This window comes from Homo sapiens, chromosome 6 (genome assembly GCF_000001405.40).
Source record: "Homo sapiens chromosome 6, GRCh38.p14 Primary Assembly".
NCBI classification, from domain to species: domain Eukaryota; kingdom Metazoa; phylum Chordata; class Mammalia; order Primates; family Hominidae; genus Homo; species Homo sapiens.
This window is the reverse complement of record NC_000006.12, coordinates 139,364,882-139,389,280: the sequence shown is the minus strand read 5'-3', so window position 1 is coordinate 139,389,280 and position 24,399 is coordinate 139,364,882. Positions and strand designations below refer to the sequence as shown.

General features: G+C 42.5%; 1 protein-coding gene across 3 annotated transcripts, besides 8 other annotated features; it reads left to right on the top strand.

Moving 5' to 3' along the window:
* Positions 12,235 to 12,529: a silencer, noted in NCBI's record as "tiled region #8989; K562 Repressive non-DNase unmatched - State 5:Enh". NCBI's record gives its function as "represses a minimal TATA promoter and a strong SV40 promoter by Sharpr-MPRA in K562 cells {active_cell/tissue: K562}" and the evidence as "EXISTENCE:reporter gene assay evidence [ECO:0000049][PMID:27701403]".
* Positions 13,785 to 14,094: a silencer, noted in NCBI's record as "silent region_17612". NCBI's record gives its function as "represses an Ori minimal core promoter by ATAC-STARR-seq in GM12878 lymphoblastoid cells {active_cell/tissue: GM12878}" and the evidence as "EXISTENCE:reporter gene assay evidence [ECO:0000049][PMID:35858748]".
* Positions 14,265 to 14,644: a silencer, noted in NCBI's record as "silent region_17611". NCBI's record gives its function as "represses an Ori minimal core promoter by ATAC-STARR-seq in GM12878 lymphoblastoid cells {active_cell/tissue: GM12878}" and the evidence as "EXISTENCE:reporter gene assay evidence [ECO:0000049][PMID:35858748]".
* CITED2 (Cbp/p300 interacting transactivator with Glu/Asp rich carboxy-terminal domain 2) lies at positions 14,633 to 17,474 on the top strand. Of its 3 annotated transcripts, none has more exons than NM_006079.5 (2): positions 14,633 to 14,868; positions 15,329 to 17,474. In NM_006079.5, the coding sequence occupies exon 2, from the start codon at positions 15,337 to 15,339 to the stop codon at positions 16,147 to 16,149; it is 813 nt and encodes a 270-aa protein (NP_006070.2). In that variant the 5' UTR covers positions 14,633 to 14,868; positions 15,329 to 15,336; the 3' UTR covers positions 16,150 to 17,474. The 3 variants fall into 3 exon arrangements, with proteins under 3 accessions (NP_006070.2, NP_001161860.1, NP_001161861.2); NM_001168388.3 differs by lacking the exon at positions 14,633 to 14,868 and adding an exon at positions 14,919 to 15,017; NM_001168389.3 differs by lacking the exon at positions 14,633 to 14,868 and adding an exon at positions 15,068 to 15,149.
* Positions 14,795 to 14,964: an enhancer, noted in NCBI's record as "active region_25172". NCBI's record gives its function as "activates an Ori minimal core promoter by ATAC-STARR-seq in GM12878 lymphoblastoid cells {active_cell/tissue: GM12878}" and the evidence as "EXISTENCE:reporter gene assay evidence [ECO:0000049][PMID:35858748]".
* Positions 15,105 to 15,254: a silencer, noted in NCBI's record as "silent region_17610". NCBI's record gives its function as "represses an Ori minimal core promoter by ATAC-STARR-seq in GM12878 lymphoblastoid cells {active_cell/tissue: GM12878}" and the evidence as "EXISTENCE:reporter gene assay evidence [ECO:0000049][PMID:35858748]".
* Positions 15,475 to 15,534: an enhancer, noted in NCBI's record as "active region_25171". NCBI's record gives its function as "activates an Ori minimal core promoter by ATAC-STARR-seq in GM12878 lymphoblastoid cells {active_cell/tissue: GM12878}" and the evidence as "EXISTENCE:reporter gene assay evidence [ECO:0000049][PMID:35858748]".
* Positions 15,825 to 15,924: a silencer, noted in NCBI's record as "silent region_17609". NCBI's record gives its function as "represses an Ori minimal core promoter by ATAC-STARR-seq in GM12878 lymphoblastoid cells {active_cell/tissue: GM12878}" and the evidence as "EXISTENCE:reporter gene assay evidence [ECO:0000049][PMID:35858748]".
* Positions 19,644 to 20,462: an enhancer, noted in NCBI's record as "OCT4-NANOG-H3K27ac hESC enhancer chr6:139689956-139690774 (GRCh37/hg19 assembly coordinates)". NCBI's record gives its function as "activates a minimal SCP1, AML or CMV promoter by ChIP-STARR-seq in primed H9 embryonic stem cells {active_cell/tissue: H9 hESC(primed)}" and the evidence as "EXISTENCE:reporter gene assay evidence [ECO:0000049][PMID:30033119]".

Sequence of the window (24,399 nt, the reverse complement as noted above, 5' to 3'; positions counted from 1 at the left end):
GCCTGAGAGGTTGAGGCTGCAGTGAGAGATGATCATGCCACTGCGTTTCAGCCTGAGCAACAGAGTGAGACTCTGTCTCAAAAAAAAAAAAAAAAAAAAAAGAGAGAGATTCAACAGAGAATGACCAATGGTGATAATCAGAGAATTACAGATCAAGGCACAGACTTAAACCTCAGTGAACTTCTGTACTATCTAAGTAATATATGTAGTGAATGCAAGAGTCCCTGTCCACAAAAACAAAACCAAAAAACACATACTTTTTTTTTTGAGCCACTGCGCCCAGCCAAAAACACATACTTTTAAAAAGTTTTGTAAAGCTATTCAATCCAGTTTGTTGTTTACCAAATGAATATATACCATAACATAATTTCTGCCTCCTATTTAATTTTAAGACTATATTTAAAGAGAGAAAATGTTTTCCAACCTGTTATTGGACCTATATTTATTTCCTGAGAATAATTTTACTTATGAAAATGTGTTATCCCTGAATTAATGTCCTTCTATCATCCAAGTGTAGTGACAAGAGAATGGGTTTGGGGGTCAACAGATGTTAGGTGTTAGGGCACAAGGAAAAATAAGTTACACTCCAGCCCGGAGGAGCTTGTAGGCAGTGGCTGCTGGGGTGGGGCTGGGGGAGGGTGACATGTAGGAAAACTGTTCTTTGTTAGAGCAAGTTGGAAGAGTTATTATACTCCCTGGGTTCTGATCTTGCACCTTTTATCTAATCTCCTGAGATCTCTGGTAGCAGAGTTCATCTAGCCTCATGAACTCTGAACCTTTCTCTCTGTCTGCAATAGTTTATCCTGCCTTCTTTTCGTGGAATTCTCCCTGGTAAACAACAAAGACCATGAAAAGGATGATTTGTTGGTGTCATGATGCTCTGGAATTTATATCTAAATTAATATTTCTTTTTTTTCTTTTTTTTGAGACGGAGTCTCACTCTGTTGCCCAGGCTGGAGTGCAGTGGCACAATCTCAACTCACTGCAACCTCTGCCTCCCAGGTTCAAGTGATTCTCTTGCCTCAGTCTCTCGAGTAGCTGGGACTACAGGCACATGTCACCACACCCAGCTAATTTTTTGTATTTTTAGTAGAGACGGGGTTTCACCGTGTTAGCCAGGATGGTCTCGATCTCCTGACATCATGATCTGCCCGCCTCGGCCTCCCAAAGTGCTGGGATTACAGGCAAGAGCCATCGTGCCTGGCTAAATTAATATTTCAAAAGAAGCATCCTTAAGCTCCACTATGGCACCAGGTAATCTGAAAATCCATGACCATGGTGGGATCAGAGGGAACTACATGTGGGTTCATCTTTTGCTGCATCTGCTTCTATAATATCCTCTTTAATGTGTAAGTAGTCCCTACCTCCAGGTGGAGAACTGATTCTTTCTCTGAATTCTCTTTCTCCTGATGATGCATTATGAAGGATCCACAAAGCCAATTGAAAATACAGGAAATGTTGGCCTCATGAAGAGCTTAAATTACTGGAGAGAAGTTAAAACATCGAAAAGGTGGTAAAGGAAAGAAAGACTGAAAAAAAATCTTAATTCTAAACAACAACTAATTTTATAAATGATCTTTCTAAATTATTTAGTATAGTTTAGCATGTATGGAGAACACTTTGAGAGTTGACACAGTAGCAAACTAGAAGATTAGAAAATGTTTTCAATTATTCAATTTTTTTTTTTTAAAGGAGATTTAAGGGCCGGGCACAGTGGCTCACACTTGTAATCCCAGCACTTTGGGAGGCCAAGGTGGGTGGATCACCTGAGGTCAGGAGTTTAAGACCAGCCGGGCCAACATGGTGAAACCCATCTCTACCAAAAAAAAAAAAAAACAAAAAAAATTAGCTGGACATAGTGGTGGGCACCTGTAATCCCAGCTACTCAGGAGGCTGAGGCAGGAGAATCACTTGAACCCGGGAGGCGGAGGTTGCAGTGAGCCGAGATTGTGCCACTGCACTCCAGCCTGGGAGACAGAGTGAAACTCCATCTCAGAAAAAAAAAAAAGGAGATTTGAAATTAGATCTCAATTGCTTAACTGTAAGTGTTAAAGGAATTTGCATTTTTTAGCTGCATGATCACCTACTCTGAGTCAGGTACTATTTCTGCACTGGAGATGCAATGATGTGACACTGGGCACAAGATAGAAGCCTAGACCTTCCCTTCATGGGGACAGTATTGAAGGAGCCACAACAATTTATCTAACTATACATTTTGAGAGGGTCTGTGAAAGAAACTGTCAAGGCAACTGTATATAACAAAGGCAATAATGGGAGACCTGACCAGTCTGGAGCAAAATCACAGTTTCCCTCATGGAAGAATGCCAAAGCATTATGAGATATCAGTAAGTAAGGGGTCTCCCACCCAATTCAGAATTTCAAATTATTTCAATAGACCCACTGCAGTTACAGGACAGAGGTAACAGGAAGGGAGGGAGGCCAAAGGACCCTCATGCTGTCGCTGTACCCTTCCCTTGGCGACACCACCACAGATGAAGGCCTGCTCTTCAGCTCAGCTGCTCCATTCATCCTGAGTTCAACTGACTCCCACACTCATCAGATTCACAAGAGATTGATGAACAGCAGTTGATTCATTTACAATTCCAGGTGACTGCTAACTCCCAAGGTACCCAAGAGCCCGGGAAGCTGAGATGTTCCTGCTAAAGATGCTGATCTTATCTTGTACATGTTTATGCTCCTTGAAGGCACTCACGGAAGCTAATCTTATCTCAAACTTCTGAGGCTGTTTCTCTGGTGCCCCCACACACTGATTCCAGAAGCTGGGCTGCACTTGAAATCAGTCTAGAAATCCTTTGCTCATACAAGCTAATGATGTGAACAAGATTGTCTAAAATACTTAAAAGACCTGAAGCACCTACAAGCACTCCAGAAAATGCCATTTAAAATATAAATAATTGCCAGGCACAGTGGCTCAAGCCTGTAATCCCAGCACTGTGGGAGGCCGAGGCGGGTGGGTCATGAGGTCAGGAGATCGAGAGCATCCTGGCCAACACGGTGAAACTCTGTCTCTACTAAAAATACAAAAAAATTAGCTGGGTGTGGAGGCACATGCCTGTAATAATCCTGGCTACTTGGGAGGCTGAGGTAGAAGAATCACTTGAACCCAGGAGGTGGAGATTGCAGTGAGCTGAGATCGCGCCATTGCACTCTAGCCTGGGCAACAGAGTGAGACTCTGTCTCAATAAAAATAAAAATAAAAATAATAAAAAAAATTGACATGAATATAAATCATTCTTTTCTAGTTATTACCCAGCTCACCTAAGCATTTCTGTAAAGCTGGTATTTGAATGAATAGAAGCGGGAACTGATGAGTCAATGACTAAAAACAATTGAACTCACAGACAACTTTGGGGTCACATATTTATTTGATATAGGAAAGAAACCTGTATTTTTTTAAGGAAGTGGCTAACACTCAGCCTTCGATAGTTTAACCTTTCTATTCCATTCTCTGCCAACTATAGATCCAAATTATTTATTATAATACACAGTTATATGACCCAAAGTATTGGTAATAATAAAGACCGGATACCACCAAAACCAGGGTTTCTTTAATAGGAGTTCACAGATCCTTCACAAACCTTAAAGTAGTCTTCGGTGTTCTCTTTTTCTCCTCAAGAATTCTTTAATTTTATGTTTTCATTTTGTTGATTTTTTTTTTTTTTTTTTTTTTTTTTGAGACGGAGTCTTGCTCTGTCGCCCAGGCTAGAGTGCAATGGCACGATCTCGGCTCATTGCAAGCTCCGCCTCCCAGGTTCATGCCATTCTCCTGCCTCAACCTCCCGAGCAGCTGGGACTACAGGTGCCCGCCACCACGCCCAGCTAATTTTTTGTATTTTTAGTAGAGACGGGGTTTCACTGTGTTAGCCAGGATGGTCTTGATCTCCTGACCTTGTGATCCGCCCGCCTCGGCCTCCCAAAGTGCTGGGATTACAGGCTTGAGCCACCGTGCCCGGCCTTTGTTGATCATTTCTAACAAATTATTAGACACGCATTATGAATCATCCAAATGATCATCTTTCATTATTTAGATTTGTGATTATAACTGTGATGGTGCCAAGTAGCATGACTTTAAAATGTTGAAGACAAATCAGGAAAGAACAGAGATGGCTTTAATATACTGAAATGGTCACACCATGTGAAGACCAACTGAAATTGTGGTGCACAGTATACAAGTTTGCACAGTGGTTCCAATACAAATTTCACTACATGGCATGCTATAGCATCAGCAGGCCAAACTCAGTAGCAAAAAACAGATACTGTAGTTCTTGTTGCTGGATTCACATTGCAAGGGGTGGCTTAATTTTGACAAAATCTGCCAGATAAATATTGTTAATTTCTATTTTTATTGGTTCTGAATTTTTATTTAACATGTACATGTGTTCTAGTATTACAGTTGTATAAGAGCTATAAACATAAGGATATCATGCATTGTTCCCTATTTTTACATAGTTAAGAAATATAAATAATGTAAATAAACATTTGAAATCTAAGACAATTTTTTTTTTCTGAGACAGACTCTTGCTCTGTTGCCCAGGCTGGAGTGCAGTGGTGCAATCTTGGCTCAGTGCAAGCTCCACCTTCTGGGTTCACCCCATCCTCCTGCTTCAGCCTCCCGAGTAGCTGGGTCTACAGACGCCTACCACCACACCCAGCTAATTTTTTGTATTTTTAGTAGAAATGGGGTTTCACCGTGTTAGCCAGGATGGTCTCGATCTCCTGACCTCATGATCTGCCCACCTTGGCCTCCCAAAGTGCTGGGATTACAGGCGTGAGCCACTGCGCCCGGCCAAGATAATTTTTTCTTTTGAAAGAGAGCTTTATTATTCTTGGCCAGGCACTGTGGCTCACGCCTGTATTCCCAGCACTTTGGGAGGCCATGGTGGGCGGATCACGAGGTCAGGAATTCAAGACCAGCCTGGCCAACATGGTGAAAACCTGTCTCTACTAAAGATACAAAAAATTAGCAGGGCATGGTGGCGCGTGCCTGTAGTCCCAGCTACTCAGGAGACTGAGGCAGGAGAATGGTGTGAACCCAGGAGGCGGAGGTTGCAGTGAGCCGAGATTGAGCCACTGTACTCCAGCCTGGGCAACAGGGAAAGACTTTGCCTCAAAAAACTGTAAACAAACAAACAAACAAACAAACAACAGAGCTTTATTATTCTTTATTCTGAAAGAGAGCTTTATTATTCTTGAGAAACACTGACTTAAACCAGCATTTTTCAACATTTTTTTCCTGTGAGTCTCCTTCATTGTTATCTCATGAACCACTTAGGCATTTTCAGATCATTTAAAAAATTTTTGTATGGCATGTAAGAAGAGAGTTCACAGAAAACATTATGTTTTAGATAAATGTATAATAGAAGCTTGTTTTGTGGTGTTTATTTTAAATAATATTTATTACAAAGACTATAAAACAAATTATTTTTTGTTATAAAATACAATTATAAGATCTCTTTTCAATTAATTATAAGAAGTAAAGCACAGCTTGTTAACAAATTCAAAATTGACAATATATTCTCTGTGGATCTGAGACTAAATACATATTTAAACATATTGAAATACAACTACATATTATGACATTACAAATTGGCACGAAATATTTTCCTTTCCTGATGTTTTTAGTTTTTGACTTTTGTACATAAAAATCAACTGGGATTTTAAAAAATAATGTTTGTGCTTTGTTTGTAAGTAATGAGATCAGAGGAATAGTTTCAGGCTATTATTTGCAAACATACTTCCGTAATTATTACATACAGCAGCTGAATCTTTATTTCTAATAAATTGACAGACAATTTGAGTGTAGTCATCACTATGTTTTCTCTCTTTTGGATTCATTTTTTAGTCCTAGAGTTATGTAATTTGTACTATATAAAAGTTTTCATGATATGAATGCAACTTCTGGGTGAGATGAGCATCATCATAAGTTAGTTGTGAAATAATTATCACAATTCGGCTGGGCACCATGGTCATGCCTGTAATCTCAGTGCTTTGGGAGGCCAAGGTGAGAGGACCACTTGAGTCCAGGAGTTTAAGGTTACATGAGCTATGGCCACATCACTGCACTCCAGCCTGGACGTCACAGTGAGACCCTATCTCAAAAAAAAAATTATCACAATTATATTTCTCACAGGTTTATTTTATTCAGGACCATTAGTCTTCTATCTTTAAAAAAAAAAAAATCCGTATGTGTAAAAGAATTAAAAGCAACTTAAAGTTGTTAAATAGTGCAACAACCACTCTGACATGAGTATTTAGCTGAGAGAGTAACTACATTACTTAATGCTTGTCATCAGATGTCTACAACCAGCTCTGTGGGCTCACTCAGCACAACTCAGAGACTCTCAAACTTCCATCTTGCTGGGGTTTTTTTGTTTTGTTATTGTTTTGAGACAGGGTTTCGTTCTGTCATCCAGGCTGGAGTGCAGTGGCACAATCACAGCTCATGGCAGCCTCAAGCTCCTGGGCTCAAGTGATCCTCACGCCTCAGCCTCTCAAGTAGCTGGGATTACAAGTGTGTGCCACCATGTCTGGCTAAGTTTAAAATTTCTTTTTTTTTTTTTTTTTGAGATGGAATCTTGCTCTGTCACCAGGCTGGAGTGCAGTGACGTGATCTTGGCTCACTGCAACCTCCGCCTCCTGGATTCAAGTGATTCTCCTGCCTCAGCCTCCCAAGTAGCTGGGACCACAGGTGTGCGCCACCACGCCTGGCTAATTTTGTGTATTTTTAGTAGAGACCAGGTTTCACCATGTTAACCAGGATGGTCTCGATCTCCTGACCTTGTGATCCACCCGCCTCAGCCTCCCAAAGTTCTGAGATTACAGGTGTGAGCCACCGTGCCCAGCCTCAAATTTTTTTTTGTAGAAACAAAGTCTCTCCATGTTGCCCAGGATGGTCTCAAACTCCTGGGCTCAAGCCATCCTCTTGCCTCAGCCTCCCAAAGTGCTGGGATTAAAGACGTGAGCCACTGCACCCAGCCCCAAACTTCCATTTTGAACTGGAAAACTACTTTTAAATGATTTTAATTCCCACTGTTTTAAAAGTAGAAATTGATATAGATTCTATTACTGTCTTCTGCAATCCTATCCACCTATAATATAGAACATCAGCTGGGAAACGCTGATCTAAAAAACCACTCAACACATCTCTATTTCACTTCAGTGAAGTCTTCATAAAGACTTGGTCTGCTCCGATAATCCATACCAGTGTTTTTAAATCCTGATGGTTAGGAAGTCCTTTATGAGCAAGTCACTTAACCTCTCAGGACCTCAGATTTCTCATCTAGAAAAGGAAGGAGTTTGGATAAGATTATTTTTAAAAGTCCTACCCACACTAGAATTCTATGATTTTTATGTATTATCCAAAGCATTAGTTTTCATAACTGTTTAACATCAGAACAATATGTTTTTAAAACAAACAGAAACCCTTAATATATAAAGCACTTAAAAGTGAAGCTGAGAATACACAACATCTACAGAACACAAATTTGGAAACCACTGATCTAAAGCTCTCTTTTTAAAAACGCCTTCCTTTTTTCTTTGTCTCAGTGGAAAAGGAAAACATCTGGAAAGGATCCACCATATTAGTTTTCCTCTATGTAGACCAGAACATATGTATTAAGTCACCTGTCAGCTTTTTCTTCCCCAGATTAAATAGCCATTATAAGTCCCATTTCCCGTCCCTTTAAAAATATATTTCCTTTTTTTTTTTTCAATGAACTTTCTTTGGTTTTGGTAACTCTTTATTAAAAGGTAAAGTTGCAAACTAACCATGATCTCTCAGAAGAGCCCAGTGTAGCAAAAGGATTACTTCCAGCTCTGTCATGTGATTCTCACTCCTGATATACTCCGAGTTGTGTCCTTTTCAATAACAGCATTCCGTGGCTGCCTCTGATTCAACCAATAGCTTAGGAGGACCCGCAGTTTTGTTTTGGTTTGGTTTTTGGCTGAACTTGTTATATCTACTCAATAATTTCCCATCCAATACCCATGTAATTTGTTATTGTCCTCGTGAAGCCTCTGCAGTTTTTCTTATTGAACATAATCTTGTTTTTGATAGAGTGTTTTTCTAATTATTTAAGGTCACTGAATTTTTCTTCTGCTTTCCAACATACCTCATCCAACTTCAAAACCAATGTGAATGTTCTCTAGCTTATTGTTAAAGCTGCAGACTAAGAAAATGCCAATTATCTAAAAAAGAATCTATATGTGACGTGTGTTATATAGGCTGAATTGTACCCCCACCCAAATTCCTCTGCTGACAGCTAACTCCCGGTATCTAAGAATGTAACCATAACTAGAGATAAGGTCTTTAAAGAGGTGATTCAGTTAAAATGAGGACATTAGGGAGGGTCCTAATCCAATCTGACTGATGTCCTCATAAGAAGAGGAAATTTGGACACACGAAAGAGACACCAGGGTTTCCTGTGCACAGAGGAAAGACCATGTGAAGACACACCAGAAGCAGCCATCTGCAAGCCAAGGAGAGGGGTCCTGACACTTTGATCATGGACTTTCAGCCTCCACAACTATGAGGAAATACATTTCTGTTATTTAGGCCTCCCAGGCTGATATTTTGTTATGGCAGCCCTAGCAGCACTAGCAAACTTATACACATGCTCCTGGCTTATGATGGTTTCACAGATGATGTTTTCAACTTATAGAACGGGGTTTATCAGAGCATGACCCCATGGTAAGTCGAGAGGCATCTGTCGAAGGTTGACCTTATTCTGTGCACGACATTTTGCAGCCCCTTGGAGCTCACCTGGGAACCTCTGCCATCACAGAGAAGGTTACAGAAGAATACAAATACCCATAACTCAAGTCAGAATAGGTCAAAAAAGAAGATCTGAGTAAATTGCCCTGGAAGCACCAACGAGCCAGAATTCTTGCCATCTAGGGGATCAGGGGAGGCTAAAAAAGAGGAAATGTCATCTGAGCTGGGCCTTCAAAGACAGGCAAAATTCCAGTCATGGGCGGGAGGCGGAGAGGAAACGGGTGGCAGTCCAGGGAAACTGGACATTATGAGTGTGAACCAGGTTCACAGTACACCCATGAACCCTGTGAGAATGACCCCAGTTGTCATCAACCTATAAACAAGGTTGGCTGTTTGCAAACCTAGCTAAATATCAGAACCAACCGGGAGCTTTTAAAAAATATACAGCTCCTCAGGCCCCACTCCCAGCCTGATGAATCAAGAACTCCAGGAATGACATCCTAAAATATTTATTTTAATCAAATTCTCAAGCGGGATAGTACCAACTTCATCAATTTAAAGACCCTTTAATACAAACATTTCATTGACCTCTACGTGATAATGGCTATATTTCTCTTGAATGAAAAAATACCTAAAGACAGAAAAACTATTATGAGTTTGGTAATAATTTCAAGTGAATTTGTATTTTATGAGTTAGAACCAAGTTTACATGTTTAAAAGTGATATTCACATCTCAGTTTGACATATATACTACATGTAAGACATTATTCAGTTTGCAGATAACACCAGGTTGCATATAGGGCCTCTGTCACTATTAAATCATGTGTTAACAGACTCTCTGGCTACCTCTCTCCTCTTTTCCCTATTCCTCTCCTTCTGAGAAGGTGGCCATGTTTTTCATTGTTTTTATTTTTATTTTTAAAAGATTCTCTGAGACTCAAAGTCCTCCTTACTAAAGTGATGAAAGTAATCCCTACTCCTTACATTGAGGATTAAGTGAGCTTTGGGGTTTTGTTTCATTTTGTTGTTTTGTTTTTTGGGTTTTATTTTTTTTGAGACAAGGTCTTGCTCTGTCACCCAGGCTGGAGTGCAGTGGCACGACCTCGACCTCGACCTGCAGCCTTGACCTCCTGGGCTCAAGTAATGCTCCCACCTCAGCTTCGCGGCTTCCTGAGATGCTGGAACTACAGTCATGCACCACCATGCTCAGCTACTTTTCATATTTTTTGTAGAGTCTGGGGTTTTGCCATATTGCCTAGGCTGGTCTCAAACTTCTGGGCTTAAGCAATTCTCCCACCTCAGCCTCCCAAAGTGCTGGTGATTGTGGGCATGAGTCACTGCCCTCAGCTGAGATAATTTAAATAACGTACAAAATACAGTGCTAAATCTCACCTTCCTCCCTTCCCTAGCTGCACCACACAAGTATGAGGTCTTTCAATATATTTTTTGAAGCTGGGTCCTTCAGTCAGCCTTTTCTCAATTCAGGTTTTAGCTAAAGCCAGAGACTCACCTCTAAAAACTTGTTTCAGTCAAAAGTTCACACCAATGGGGACCTTTGTCCATTACTCAGCAGTCAGTGATGCCCAGGTGAGTCATCTTCCCAAACAGATAACAGTTTTGCCCAAGTGGCTGCCACAATGCAGACAAAGGTAAGCTGCTGTTCTCCTTTTCCACTTGACTTTTCTACCTCCAGCTTTTTTTTGGTAGAAGGGATGAAGGTCTCACTCTATTGCCAAGGCTGGAGTGGAGTAGTGTGATCACAGCTCACTGCAATCTCGAACTCCTGGGCTCAAGCAATCCCCCCGCTTCGGCCTCCCCAGTATCTAGGACTACAGGTATGCACCTCCACACCCAGCTCATTTTCTAATTTTATTTTGTTGAGACAGGATCTCAAGATGTTGCCCAGGTTGGTCTCGAATTCCTGGGCTCAAGTGATCCTCCCACTTCAACCTCCCAAAGTTCTGGGACTACAGGTGTGAGCCACTGCACCTGGCCTACCTCCAGCCTTGAGAGTGACCTTCTCCAGAAAGTCTTCCTTGGCCCCTCATTGGGGTTCCCATAGTGCCAATGCCATATTTTATTCATGCATTCACCCTTCAATTAGTAAAAGTCTAATACCTGCCAGGACTTGTTTCAGACAGTGAATGAACAACCAGGCTAGGTCTCTGCTCTCATGGAGCTGTCATTCTAATGGGGAAGGCAGTAAACTGTCAATTTACCATGCAGCATGTCAGGTAGGAAGATACTCTAAGATGAAACATAAAGCAGGGCAAGGAAACAAGAGAGATATTGCTATTTGGGTAGGACAGTCAGGGAGAGTTTGTTGAGGTGATATTTGAGCAGAGACATGAAGAAATGAGAATATGGGCCAGTAGGACGTCTGGGAAGACAGTTCCAGGTGGCAACTTTCTTTGTCAGCAGCAGGGGTCTTGTATTACTCAGTTTATTTACCACTGTTATTAGTCAAATTGTGTCCCCGCAAAAATATCTTGGAGATATGTTGGAGTTCTAACCTCCAGAATATGACCTTCTTTGGAGTCAGGAGCTTATAGAGGTGATCAAGTTAACATGAGGCCAGTAGGAGAAGCCCTAATCCAAAAGGACTAGAGTCCTTGTCAAAAGGGGAACTTTGGACACAGAGATACACATACAGGGGGGCGGGGGGTGGAAAACGTCACATGAAGATGAAGGTGGGGATCAGTGTGATGCATCTACAAGTCAAGGGACACCAAAGATTGCCGGGAAACCACCAAAAGCCAGGAAAGAGACACGGAATAGATTCTCTCTCACGGTCTTCAGAACCAACCCTGCCAACAACTTGGCCTTGTACCTCTAGCCTCCAGAACTGTGAGACAATAATGTTTTGTTGTTTAAAGCTTGATCAGCCTTAAGTTTGTATTAGACTGGTGCAAAAGTAATTACAGTTTTCGCCATTGCTTTCAATGGCAAAAATCACAATTACTTTTGCACCAACCTAAATAGTACTGTGTTATGGCAGCTCTGGGAAATGAATACAACCATTCAGTGCTGTGAGGGCCACAGACAGATCACTTGCTCGCTCACCCAGGTTCACGGGATAAACCCTGGTTATACGGAACTTCTGGGAGCCCTGGGTTACTGTAAGTGCCCCCTAACTGGACTCCCTGTTTCCTGTCTTACTTTCTCTAACCATTCTCCACAGTACTGCCCTGATCTTTCTAAAATCCAAATCTTTCCTATCTCATGGCTTCACAAGCTTTTACCTGCCTCCCAATGTCTTTGGGATACAGCAAAATTTCTCAGCTTGAGGCCACAATGCCCTTGGCATCCGGCCCCAGCATATTTCTCCAACCTTATTTCTCTCATCTTTGCATTCACTCCCTAGCCATACATTTTCTACCCCACTCCTAATGGGACCAAACTTCCATTCATCCTGAGGCCTCCACTTAGTCACCATCTCCACCGGAAAGCCTTCCCAAAGCACCCAGGAGGGGGGTAGGTGTCCCTCCTATGTGCTCTCCAAAGCCCTTTCCTTCAATGCCTTTGTGGCATTTATCACAGTGTGTTCAAGGCCTGTTTGTCAGTTTTCTCCCTGTGACCATGAGTTCCTATCTTGTTTGTATCTCCAGGCACCAAGAAAGCACTTGGCACTTGGAGGACATTCAGTGGACGGATGAGAATAAATGAACAAAGCATGCCATGTTCCAACCAGCTGGTCCCAGAACTATTTTGTTCTCCTTTAAGGGATGGGGGATGGGCAGGTGACCTTTCCAGGGATTTCCCAATAGTAGGTAGAACCACTGGAGCTGGATGGAGCTCCACCTTTCCTTAGTGGTTGCAAGAGGAATTTAGATTAGACATTCAAAAGCTGTTTCTTGTGTCGAAAGACACTTGCAGTACAAAGAAGGGAAAGTAAACAATCCCGCGATTTTTCAGGTTGGGTTTTACCAATATTTTAGAATCTGTTTTTTTATAGGAAGTGGCCCCTTCAGGTATCCAAGCCTCTGATACGGTAAACTGCATGTCCTGACCTACAGGTAAAGGTGGTGGGAGGTTAGGAGAATAGGGAATTGTTGCAACTAACAATGCAATGTGTCATGTGCCCGTATCTCTAAAAAGTAAATATTTTTGAGGTTTAAAAATTATTTGCCTGCACGGTTTGCCGGAGAGCCTGGAAGAGGAAAGAAGACAAGACACAAAGTAACAACATTTACAAAAATATGCCTGACTAGGAAAAGACAGAGGGGTCATAGACGAAAATAATCAGGATTGGGTCTCTTTTGCAAATTCCTGAACGGGGAAATGTATCAGAATTTCCAGTCCTCAAGAAACAGGGCCTTTAAAAGTCTTGTGTGCAAGAAGGGGGAAAAAGACGAGGGGGGGGCGGGGAGGCGGACTCGCTCTTCGCAGCAGGAAGTCTTCAATGGCTATCGAGTTATGAAGAAACAACTGCCCAGAAGTCCTTATTCGGAGCGCTAAACTCGATTTTACCACATAAAGAGCAATGTAAAAGCTCAGAACAGCCCCATCATGGTGTTGGGGAAACAACTCGGCTTCCCCATGTGAGAAAGCCAGAGAGCTCCGACTTGGTAGTAGCCCAGACCTGTGTTAGGGGTTTTATTTGCAAGTCAATGAACCAAACGGGCGACCAGGCTCGTTGTGCCGCGTTGTGGAAGCAAGGTTATTATTATCGCCCATTGCCCCACTGAACAATTTCACTGAAAAGGAAGAGTCCCAGCCGTGTGTGTGCGCGTGGTGCCATACGGGACGTGCAGCTACGTGCCCACCTCCAGAACGACTTTATTTACAAAGCGATTACCACGTTATCTATTTGTTTTCCTTTTCCAGCAAGAGCAGCCTTACTCAGCCCTCAAATTTCTTAATTACAAACCCGTTTGCTTCTAAATCAACCCCAAACCGTCAGGCAGAGCCCGGAGGGAGGCTCTGCAAGTTTGTACACACCCCCACCTCCCGGATCCAGGGCAACAGCAGAAGCAAGTAACTGTGTATGTGCAAAAAGGTGGATCTGGGGACGAGGATCGCTGAGTTTGTTTACAGAGCAGAGACGCCTCAGCTCGGATGCCAAAGCTACCAAGAGCTGCAAACGCAAACTTAGCAGAAGCACACGTACCCCGGGAGCGGCAGGCGGGCCCGAAAGCGCGGACTGGAATTCCAGGGCGCGGGAGCGGGGGTGGCCGGGCCCTCGAGCGCGCTCCGTCCACCTGCAGCGGCTGCCCCTCCCCGCCCCCAGCTCCTGTCCTTGAAAGGAGTGGAGGAAAAAAATGCATCTACAAGCGGTGATCTAGAGTAGGTCTACCCACTGCCCGTATGAAAACACAAAGGCACAGCCTAGGAAGGCGCGCTCAGGAAAGGGCGCATTATTTGTCCGGGTCTTTAAAACCCAACTCGAGGAAGCACAGCCATTCTTCGCTGCCTGTGGAAGCTTTTGCAAAACCGGGGAGGCACAAGGGCACTCTGGAGGGCGGGGGGCGCTGGGCGAGTCCCCTTTTCCCGTAGAGAGCGGGGCAGATCGCTAGGTGAACCGAGTGAGAAAGCTGGGGGTGGGGTAGATCCAGCCTGAGGGGGGCGGTGAGCTCTCCTCGTGGCTATCCCGGCAGGCTCTACCTTCGGGCGGGGCGGCAGGGGAGGATTTTCCCCCTGCCTCGGGGGTGGCTGAGCCAACCTCGCGTTTCTGGGCCGGGAAGAAACCAGAGTCGGGGGGCGACGGGGCGACTGGGCGGCCCCCGGGCCCCGCAGCCTCTGCAGCACGTGCCGCGGGCGGCGGGGACGCGGCTCCGGGACCCGGTCCAGGGTGTTCGCGGTGTTCCGGAATCCGCGTCTTGGCGCCGCCCGCCCTGGAGGCTCTCGCTCCGCCTTTCCGAAATGCCTATATTAACTGTGGCCAAAGCCCTAAGAAACACAGCTCATTGTTGGCAGCTGCCGGGCGGTCCTGCCGAGCTGTGAGGGCAACGGAGGGGAAATAAAAGGGAACGGCTCCGAATCTGCCCCAGCGGCCGCTGCGAGACCTCGGCGCCGACATCGCGACAGCGAAGCGCTTTGCACGCCAGGAAGGTCCCCTCTATGTGCTGCTGAGCCGGTCCTGGACGCGACGAGCCCGCCCTCGGTCTTCGGAGCAGAAATCGCAAAAACGGAAGGTAAGCGCGACGGGCGAAGCTGGCTGGGGCTCTTGCCAGCCCAGTCCTCCGAGGGCAGGGTTTGCCCGGAGGAAGAGCGTGAGGCGAAGCTGGGGAATAACAACAGGATGTGCAACAACAGGATGAGGAGGGCTGATTTAATGCCTGAAGTTCGCAGCAGGGCTACGGGGCACTTCCTTTATTAGGCCACTTCGGGGAGCAAAGGGGGTGTGGGCTCGGGTCCCCCCGCCCGATCGCAGGGGAAGGGGCTGTTTGTGCAGCGTCCGGCTGTGTTATGAGTGGTAGCTCTTCCGTGGTGGCTAGCCCGGGTGCACAGGCTGTTAGTGGGATCTTGGGGGTGGTGGTTCGCAGCCGACGTGCGCCCGGGAATCCTGGGGGGCAGAGGCGAGCAAAAGTGGGGTGCGCTGTGGTGGGCGACACGTGTGGCGCGGGTCTCATTATCTGCCCTTTTCACTTCCAGGACTGGAAATGGCAGACCATATGATGGCCATGAACCACGGGCGCTTCCCCGACGGCACCAATGGGCTGCACCATCACCCTGCCCACCGCATGGGCATGGGGCAGTTCCCGAGCCCCCATCACCACCAGCAGCAGCAGCCCCAGCACGCCTTCAACGCCCTAATGGGCGAGCACATACACTACGGCGCGGGCAACATGAATGCCACGAGCGGCATCAGGCATGCGATGGGGCCGGGGACTGTGAACGGAGGGCACCCCCCGAGCGCGCTGGCCCCCGCGGCCAGGTTTAACAACTCCCAGTTCATGGGTCCCCCGGTGGCCAGCCAGGGAGGCTCCCTGCCGGCCAGCATGCAGCTGCAGAAGCTCAACAACCAGTATTTCAACCATCACCCCTACCCCCACAACCACTACATGCCGGATTTGCACCCTGCTGCAGGCCACCAGATGAACGGGACAAACCAGCACTTCCGAGATTGCAACCCCAAGCACAGCGGCGGCAGCAGCACCCCCGGCGGCTCGGGCGGCAGCAGCACCCCCGGCGGCTCTGGCAGCAGCTCGGGCGGCGGCGCGGGCAGCAGCAACAGCGGCGGCGGCAGCGGCAGCGGCAACATGCCCGCCTCCGTGGCCCACGTCCCCGCTGCAATGCTGCCGCCCAATGTCATAGACACTGATTTCATCGACGAGGAAGTTCTTATGTCCTTGGTGATAGAAATGGGTTTGGACCGCATCAAGGAGCTGCCCGAACTCTGGCTGGGGCAAAACGAGTTTGATTTTATGACGGACTTCGTGTGCAAACAGCAGCCCAGCAGAGTGAGCTGTTGACTCGATCGAAACCCCGGCGAAAGAAATCAAACCCCCAACTTCTTCGGCGTGAATTAAAAGAAACATTCCCTTAGACACAGTATCTCACTTTTCAGATCTTGAAAGGTTTGAGAACTTGGAAACAAAGTAAACTATAAACTTGTACAAATTGGTTTTAAAAAAAATTGCTGCCACTTTTTTTTCCTGTTTTTGTTTCGTTTTTGTAGCCTTGACATTCACCCACCTCCCTTATGTAGTTGAAATATCTAGCTAACTTGGTCTTTTTCGTTGTTTGTTTTTACTCCTTTCCCTCACTTTCTCCAGTGCTCAACTGTTAGATATTAATCTTGGCAAACTGCTTAATCTTGTGGATTTTGTAGATGGTTTCAAATGACTGAACTGCATTCAGATTTACGAGTGAAAGGAAAAATTGCATTAGTTGGTTGCATGAACTTCGAAGGGCAGATATTACTGCACAAACTGCCATCTCGCTTCATTTTTTTAACTATGCATTTGAGTACAGACTAATTTTTAAAATATGCTAAACTGGAAGATTAAACAGATGTGGGCCAAACTGTTCTGGATCAGGAAAGTCATACTGTTCACTTTCAAGTTGGCTGTCCCCCCCGCCGCCCCCCCCACCCCCATATGTACAGATGATAATAGGGTGTGGAATGTCGTCAGTGGCAAACATTTCACAGATTTTTATTTTGTTTCTGTCTTCAACATTTTTGACACTGTGCTAATAGTTATATTCAGTACATGAAAAGATACTACTGTGTTGAAAGCTTTTTAGGAAATTTTGACAGTATTTTTGTACAAAACATTTTTTTGAAAAAATACTTGTTAATTTATTCTATTTTAATTTGCCAATGTCAATAAAAAGTTAAGAAATAACTTGTTTTCTAGAAGTCATTTGGGGGTGGTTGTTCCCTTTGGTGGCTTTTTTCCCCCCGTCTTTGAGTTGAACACTATTGATGAGAGTAAGCATTCCAAAGGATAAATTACAGGACACTAAAACAGGTCATGATGAGCTTAAGCGGAGAGCAGGATTTAACATAATTGGCATAATGCTTCATTGTTATCATTGTAACATGCCTCTTGGTGTGCTTTAATCAAAAGCTGCAAAGTTGTCACTGCTTTTTTTTTTTTCTTAATTGCCATCATATCAAGTGTACTCCAGAGTTAGAAAGGTTTGCAATACTCAACATTATCTTTTTCAATGGGCAGGAGGCAAAAAAAATCAAGTGTTTCTGTTTATACCTGATTCAACTACTTAAATAGAGGTAGATTGGAATAATACACTGATTGATTGATGGGTGGCATTAAATATAAATCTACCTTTATCTCCAGTGATGAGAGTTTTATTTCTCAGCAAAAGTGCCAAGGATAGGTACATATTTTCTAGCGTAATCTCTGAAACAGTGTCTGACTGGTTTATAGTTCTGAGAAAGATGAGGCAGAATTCCACTTTGAGGCTTTTGTCCTATAATATTTAAAATGTACTCAGGTTGACTCAAAGGTCAAATTACAGTCTTTACAAGATGTTCCCTCTTAAGCATGCCCTGTTTTCCTGAATTCTGAGTTTTCCTGTTGCATGCATGGGATGCAAATCACCTGAAAATTATACTTTAATTTTACCTGGATAGATGTCTTATCAAGAAGACCATAGCTACAACTAAGTGGGTATCAAGTTTTGCCTTATATAATCAAGCAAAGGAAAAAGTAATATTGTGAAAATCTCAAATTATCCCAGGTGGAAGGAGAAGGAATTTTGTTTTTCATGTTTTCATGGCTTATCTTATGTTTATAAGAGCAACACACCTACCTTCAAGAAAAAATACAGACTTTTGTACGCAACTTACTAGGGGAAGTAAAAAATGTAGGTTGAGGAAAATCTTATAAATAATGCTTTAAAAGAACATTTCATTTAGACTCCGATTCTCATCTTAAATTCCATATTTTATAAGAAATCAGGAGGAGCGGATATTTAGAAGTGTTATGAGAGAGTAAGTTGGGCATAAAGGCTGCTTTAAGTATAATTCAGATCACCTGCATTTTATAATTTTATTTCCAAGGTAGGCCATGTAAAATTAAAATGCACACACTCCACTGGGTTTTTTATATACCTCTATAATTGACACTTTCTTCTTTAAAATTATGTTCAAATAAATATACTGAATCATCCAAAACTCTTTTTACCCTACTTTAAAAGCTGATCCAGATTTCCACATTAATAGTTAAAGCTGAAGTTTTCTTCAGCTAAGACATGTCAATACTAAATCTGCAATCAGCAATGAATCTTTCTGGCTAAGCATTTTCACAGTAAGTTTTTCTTTCTCTCTCTCTCTTTTTTTTTTCCAGAGGCTTAAGTGAAAAAATATGTTTGCATACATATTAATACAGCAACTCCAATCCTTTTTCACTAGTGCCAGGAAAAAAGGAAAGTGATTAAATGCATTTTTTTTTTTTTTTTTGCATAAAGAAGCCAAAGAATTGTCTTGCCACCACCCTTCACCATTTATTCTGCCAGGGAATAAGCCACAACACCTGCTCTGTCACTAAATTCCTCCTGCTGCTCAAACGCCGGAACACGTATGTGGAGATGCAGAGCCCAAGGAACTATTATTAGATCTTGAGCCCATCCCTACCAGAACAGAGGACTCAAACAGAGGAGCTGGGCTAAAAAGCACAATTTGTCTTCAGTACAAATACAAACGCTCCCGCACCCCAGTTCACTTGAGTGATCTCTGTTTCATTAAAAACTCTTTCTTGATCAACAATTGAGCAGATTCTACATGATATCTGCAGGTCTCTTAAGCAGAGAAAAATAACTCCTTGTTTCAACAACCTGATTAATGAAACCTGTACAGTGACCTAGATCACCCGGCTACTGGCAGACATTTGCAAAACCTTTTGTGGTCTTGCTTCCTACTAAGTTGCTTATAGCATATGGGGAAATTTGACCTCTGTACCTTGGCTGTTTGTCAAAAAGTTCTAATATGATACAAGAGAGCTTCTGTTCTTTAAGCTTTGCCCAAAAATAGACACTCCATGCTTGATTTTCAAGAAGAGATCAATGATAAGCTGCAGTGCAACCTCATAGCTACATGTCAGAAAAATAAGTCCACATTAATAAAAACGTATACTTCTGTCTTGTGCCTGATAAAATCCTCGTGACAGTATCTTTGCGGGAGCTGATAAAGACGTTAGAGCTATGGATGGGTCTTTGAAGAACAGTTACCTAATCACCACTGTTTATGGGGTGCTGGGCTAGAGCACTAGTAGCAGAAGGCTGACATCTATTGTGAAGTTTATGGTCTCCATGACTTTTACTACTGTAAACGCCTGGGATGGCTATAAATTGATGTCAACATTAAAGGCCAGATCCTTTAGAGAAAAATATTAATCCACTAATCTATTATGGGTGGCCAGCTTTGCAATAAAAACTTTGCAGCCCCGGACCATTAGGTGTTTTCGCCCCCTTGTGGAATTTATTTAGAAGGTCAATGAAAAGCTGTTTCCTCAAGAGCTTTTTCGCTTTTTTGTTTGTTTTGTTGCCATTTCTGAAGACTTTGTTTTCTTCTTTGAGCAAACAGCACATATTCGAGCAACACATTTTTTAAATCAAAGAAGATTCCAAAATAAACATCCTTTATAAAATAAGAATATTTTACTTACCAAAAACCTTAACCTATGATTAAGTGTGCATAATTGAGATTTGCCTCATATTTGAAAATATGCATTACCTAAGGGGTTTTCTTTTAAAAGTGTAAGGAGCAGTGGTTTGGGCTGATGCTTTAGCCTGCAAACTGAGGGGATGGCAAACCCTCAGCGCCTCCACAACAGGACTGTTGATTTGCAGTAAGGGTAAATAACAATGCATTTGACGGTATGAGGTTGGAAAGGTGGAGGGAAATATCCAGGAATGCAGAATGCAATTATCCACATTGGAATGTGACCAAGCCACCAGCCCTAATCTTGTGAAAGGACTGCAGGATCTTTAATGAGGATGAGTGTTGCTGTCTAATTGAGTCAGTAAAATTTACTTTAAAATAAACTGGGCAGATAACATTGTCTCCAAAAAATAAATAAATTTAGAATTCAAGGAATTTAAGACCCATGCCATTGGCAATTTTTTCCTCTGCAGTGGAAATGTTTTGCTAGCATGAAAGCAGCAGTACACCTCTTCAGAAATGCATGCTTCAGAGATGGTATTTATCATTTTGGGACTGCACCACTATCATCAAAATCAGCGCTCCCAGGCAGGTTGAGGCTGAGCCTCCAGAAGAGAACAATAGGTAGCACATCAAATGACTCAGCCAGTGAACCCCTATTATCATGGGCTCTGTTTGTCTTCTCCCCCTAGAATAGAAGGAACAATGGCAATGTCAGAATTTTAATTGCAATGGACTGGCTTAAATTACTTGACCTATTTTTATGCAGCAAGGAGAAAAATGATTCTTTTTTTTTCCTGGTAGCCATACTTTTAATTTAAACTGGAAAAGGAAATATAAGAATATTTTCCATCAAATAACATACTGCTGATAATTTTAGTTTGCCTTGTAGTGAGACCTACCTATATTTTAAAAAAATATTAAAACATCTGAAATAAAGAACTTCTTCCCTTCCCAGGAAGAAATTAAACTCATAAGTAATGCAGTAATGCTAAAGAGTGAGAAAATATTCTAAGAGCGGCTGGCGTGAATTTCTATCATATTTTGATATTTATACACAATGAAAGAAAAGCTATGATAAGTAAGAGTCTGTTGTGTTGAGGAACTGAATCCATGATCCTTGGGAAAGAGAAACTATCAGACCGACCTCTTCCATACTGTCTATGAACAAATAATGACTTTTTAGCGGCTGGATTCTTATCAGTTACTTCCTTCCCCTAGAGGAGCACTAAATGAAGCAGCCCCAGGAGGCAGTTAGTGGTGCTTTTTGAGAATTCAGCTTGGCTAAATCAGGACTTGCAGAGTGAGCAAAAAGCACATGAAAGAAAGATGGACGGTGAATATTATTACTTGCTTTATATGTTATTAGTTTTCATTAGGCTGAACTAATCTGAAAGATTAGTGAGGCAGGGGCACAACCAGGGGTGAGGACTGTGGTTCACGGAATTCTTGGAATTTTCCCATGGTATCACCATTGTGCTCAGCCCTGAAATCCCTCCCTTTCTTCCCTCTACAGTAGAGTGGTTACTTGATTACATTTTGGGTTGCTGAACAAAGCCGACAGGGGAATCTGTCTCCTGAGGAGCCTGTAGCAAGGCAAGGTTAGCGTGGTGCGCATTGCAGGAGATATGCAAATAGGCGAGTGGCTTTTGAAAAGTTAATAGTGCCCAAAGAATTCTGCCTGTCCATTCCTGAAAGCTGAGTGGGGAGCAAAATTAAGGCTTGAGTGCAAGTCAAACTAGCACAAAATCAGGAAAAGTCAGCCAACTCCAGATTGTCAGTACTGTTTTTATGAACACATGCTACAGTGAAGGAAATGGGATTGGAGGCTATTGAGGTCTTTTCTCTTTGGGTTTTCCTATGGATTGGTATAACATTTGGCCTTGTGATTTCCTTAGTCACTAGGCCACAGAATTTTATTGTTGTTAGTGGTGGTGGTTTATTCTCGTAACCCACTGGGTTTGGGGTTTGGTTTGGGTTCCGTTGGGTTTTTTGCTTCATGACAGTTGCTATCTCCTTAAAGCACATATAGTATACTTCAATTGTGCATACACATTCTTAGATCACCTTGTAAATATGGCCCCGTTGCATGTATTTTGGATAACTCTTGAAAGGAGGATAAGCAAGATGATGACCAGTTTCATACATCTCTCTTCACCCTATGTGTTTAGCAAACATAAGGACGATGAGGCCAGTAGGTGAAAAATGATTGAACTGACTGTTATGTTCCTAATATGAACTTAAATATCTAAATGTTTCTAAGATCCCCTTCTGACACCATTTTTTGGATCAATAGTTCTCAGCTGGGTAGAGGTACCTCTCAGGCTGGGGAGAAGGGAGAGAAAACAGTAACTTATAAAAACATATTCCATACTATATTTGGACAGATGTTTTAATACACATTCTTTTAGTAAAACAAAATGTAGAAAGACATTTCAAACTCTTATTATTTTTTTATTTATTTTGTTTGAGACAGAGTCTTGCTCTGTTGCCAGGCTGGAGTGCAGTGGCGCAATCTCAGCTCACTGCAACCTCCACCTACTGGGTTCAAGCGATTCTCCTGCCTCAGCCTCCTGAGTAGCTGGGACTACAGGCACGCACCACCATGCACAACTAGTTTTTTTGTATTTGTTGGCCAGGATGATCGCAATCTCTTGACCGCGTGATCCACTCACCTCGGCCTCCCAAAGTGCTGGGATTACAGCGTGAGCCACTGCGCCTGGCCTCAAAATCTTCTTGACTGATAGGGCATAGATTTTTAAATGGTAAGAAACACTGTTTAGACTGCATGGGATCAAATCGAAGAAATTTACCCTTCAATCAACATCTCTTAACAAATCTCTCTGTTGACCATAAGTTTCCTGTGGCTGCCTTGGTTGAGCACTTACTATGTGACAGATATTGTGGTAGGCACTTTACATACATAATCTCATTTAATGCTCACAATATGCTTGCAAGATTCATGATATTCTTCCAAATTTACATAAGGAAATTGACATTTAGAGAGGAAGTCAACTGCTCAAGGACAACACAGTAGCGGATAGAGGAGCAGAGTAGTTTCCAGACCTAGCTTCCGAGTCAGTGCTCTTTCTAAGACGCAGTGCTGCTGTGATAAACCAAATGACACCTATTCTTAAATGCCACTGATTGTAAAATGATCAATAAGTGATTAAGAGAAAAACCCATTACATTACATGAACACAAGTTCTAAAATATATGAACACAACTATACCATGTATTTATCCGTACAATCACACACCGTTTCCTTTTGGGATTCACAAGATTCGGGTCTACGCTTTTTCAAATTTGGTATAAAAATTCCTCCAAATTAAGTGTGACCCCTGAAAGTGCATGAGTAGCCTCATGGTGAGCTGCTTACCCCTTCTTAATATTTTGACCTCGTTAGCACTTCAAGTCAAATGAAAGAATATCAGTGATTTAAATTGCGGTTTCAGTTTTTTTTTCCTTAACTGAATTCCTTCTTGCTGGAAATAAACAGTTTCTTTCAGAAATTAAGCCAATGCCTTACCCTCCCAATTCTATACTCTATTAAATGAGAATGTTAGTTACTAAATTCTGGCACATAAATATGACCGCTTTACAACTCGCCCAACTGCCTGCCAGCGATTATGTTTTAATATTGATTATAAGATTCAGGCTGATTTCATAATGTTAAGATTTTTTTTAAGTACATGTTAGAATAAAGGAAATACAATATTTAGTTACTTTACACTTAACTAATCTTCCTCAATTTATCCAAAGTTTCTTGATGCAAATGTAAACTCACATTCTCTTACTTTGGTCTTCTATGGAAATGGAGAACTCTTCTATTAATAGTTACTGAAAAGAATAGTAGATCAGGAATAAAAAACATAGGTCTAGTCTTAACTCTGCAACCAAATAGCTGTGTAATTTAATCATTGTTGACTCAAGTTTCTCCATCAGTAAAATGAAGATGTTTAATTAATACATCTTGTATTCAAATTCTCATGAAGAAAACATAAGCCCGTTCCTATCATTTCTCCTCCTCTGAAAACATGGAGTACAATATTATAAGACCACCTCAAAACCTGTTCCATCATTCTTACCATTGTTTTTCCAAGCTCACCGTGAGTCTGTGGGTGTGCCATAGACCTGACCCAGTTGTGTCAACTTTCCAAAGATTGGAATCGTCTCTGTAAATATTCCCTTTCATTGCCATAATGAGCACAAATTTTGGCTACTGAGATTTATCAGCCTGCAAGCAAATGCCAAAAAAGCTTGCCACCCTAGGAAATATTTCCAGAACATGACATTGCAAATTTGCTGATGCAGTTGTTTAAATTATGTGTGTGTGTGTATGGTGTGTAACTTACTGAAAATAATTCGATCAATTCTTTATTTCAGGTTCTGTTTTATATTCTTACAGATTAATTTCACTTTTCCAACCTCATAAATAACAAACCATAACTATTTGAACTCTCTTCCTTTCAAACATCTTTTCCTGGGCCACAATTATTATCGTCATCATTAGCATAACTGTTAGTATTATTTACTTTCTCAGAGAGGCAATCCTATATACAATGCTAAGTCAGAGGAAGCTAGCATGTGTTGA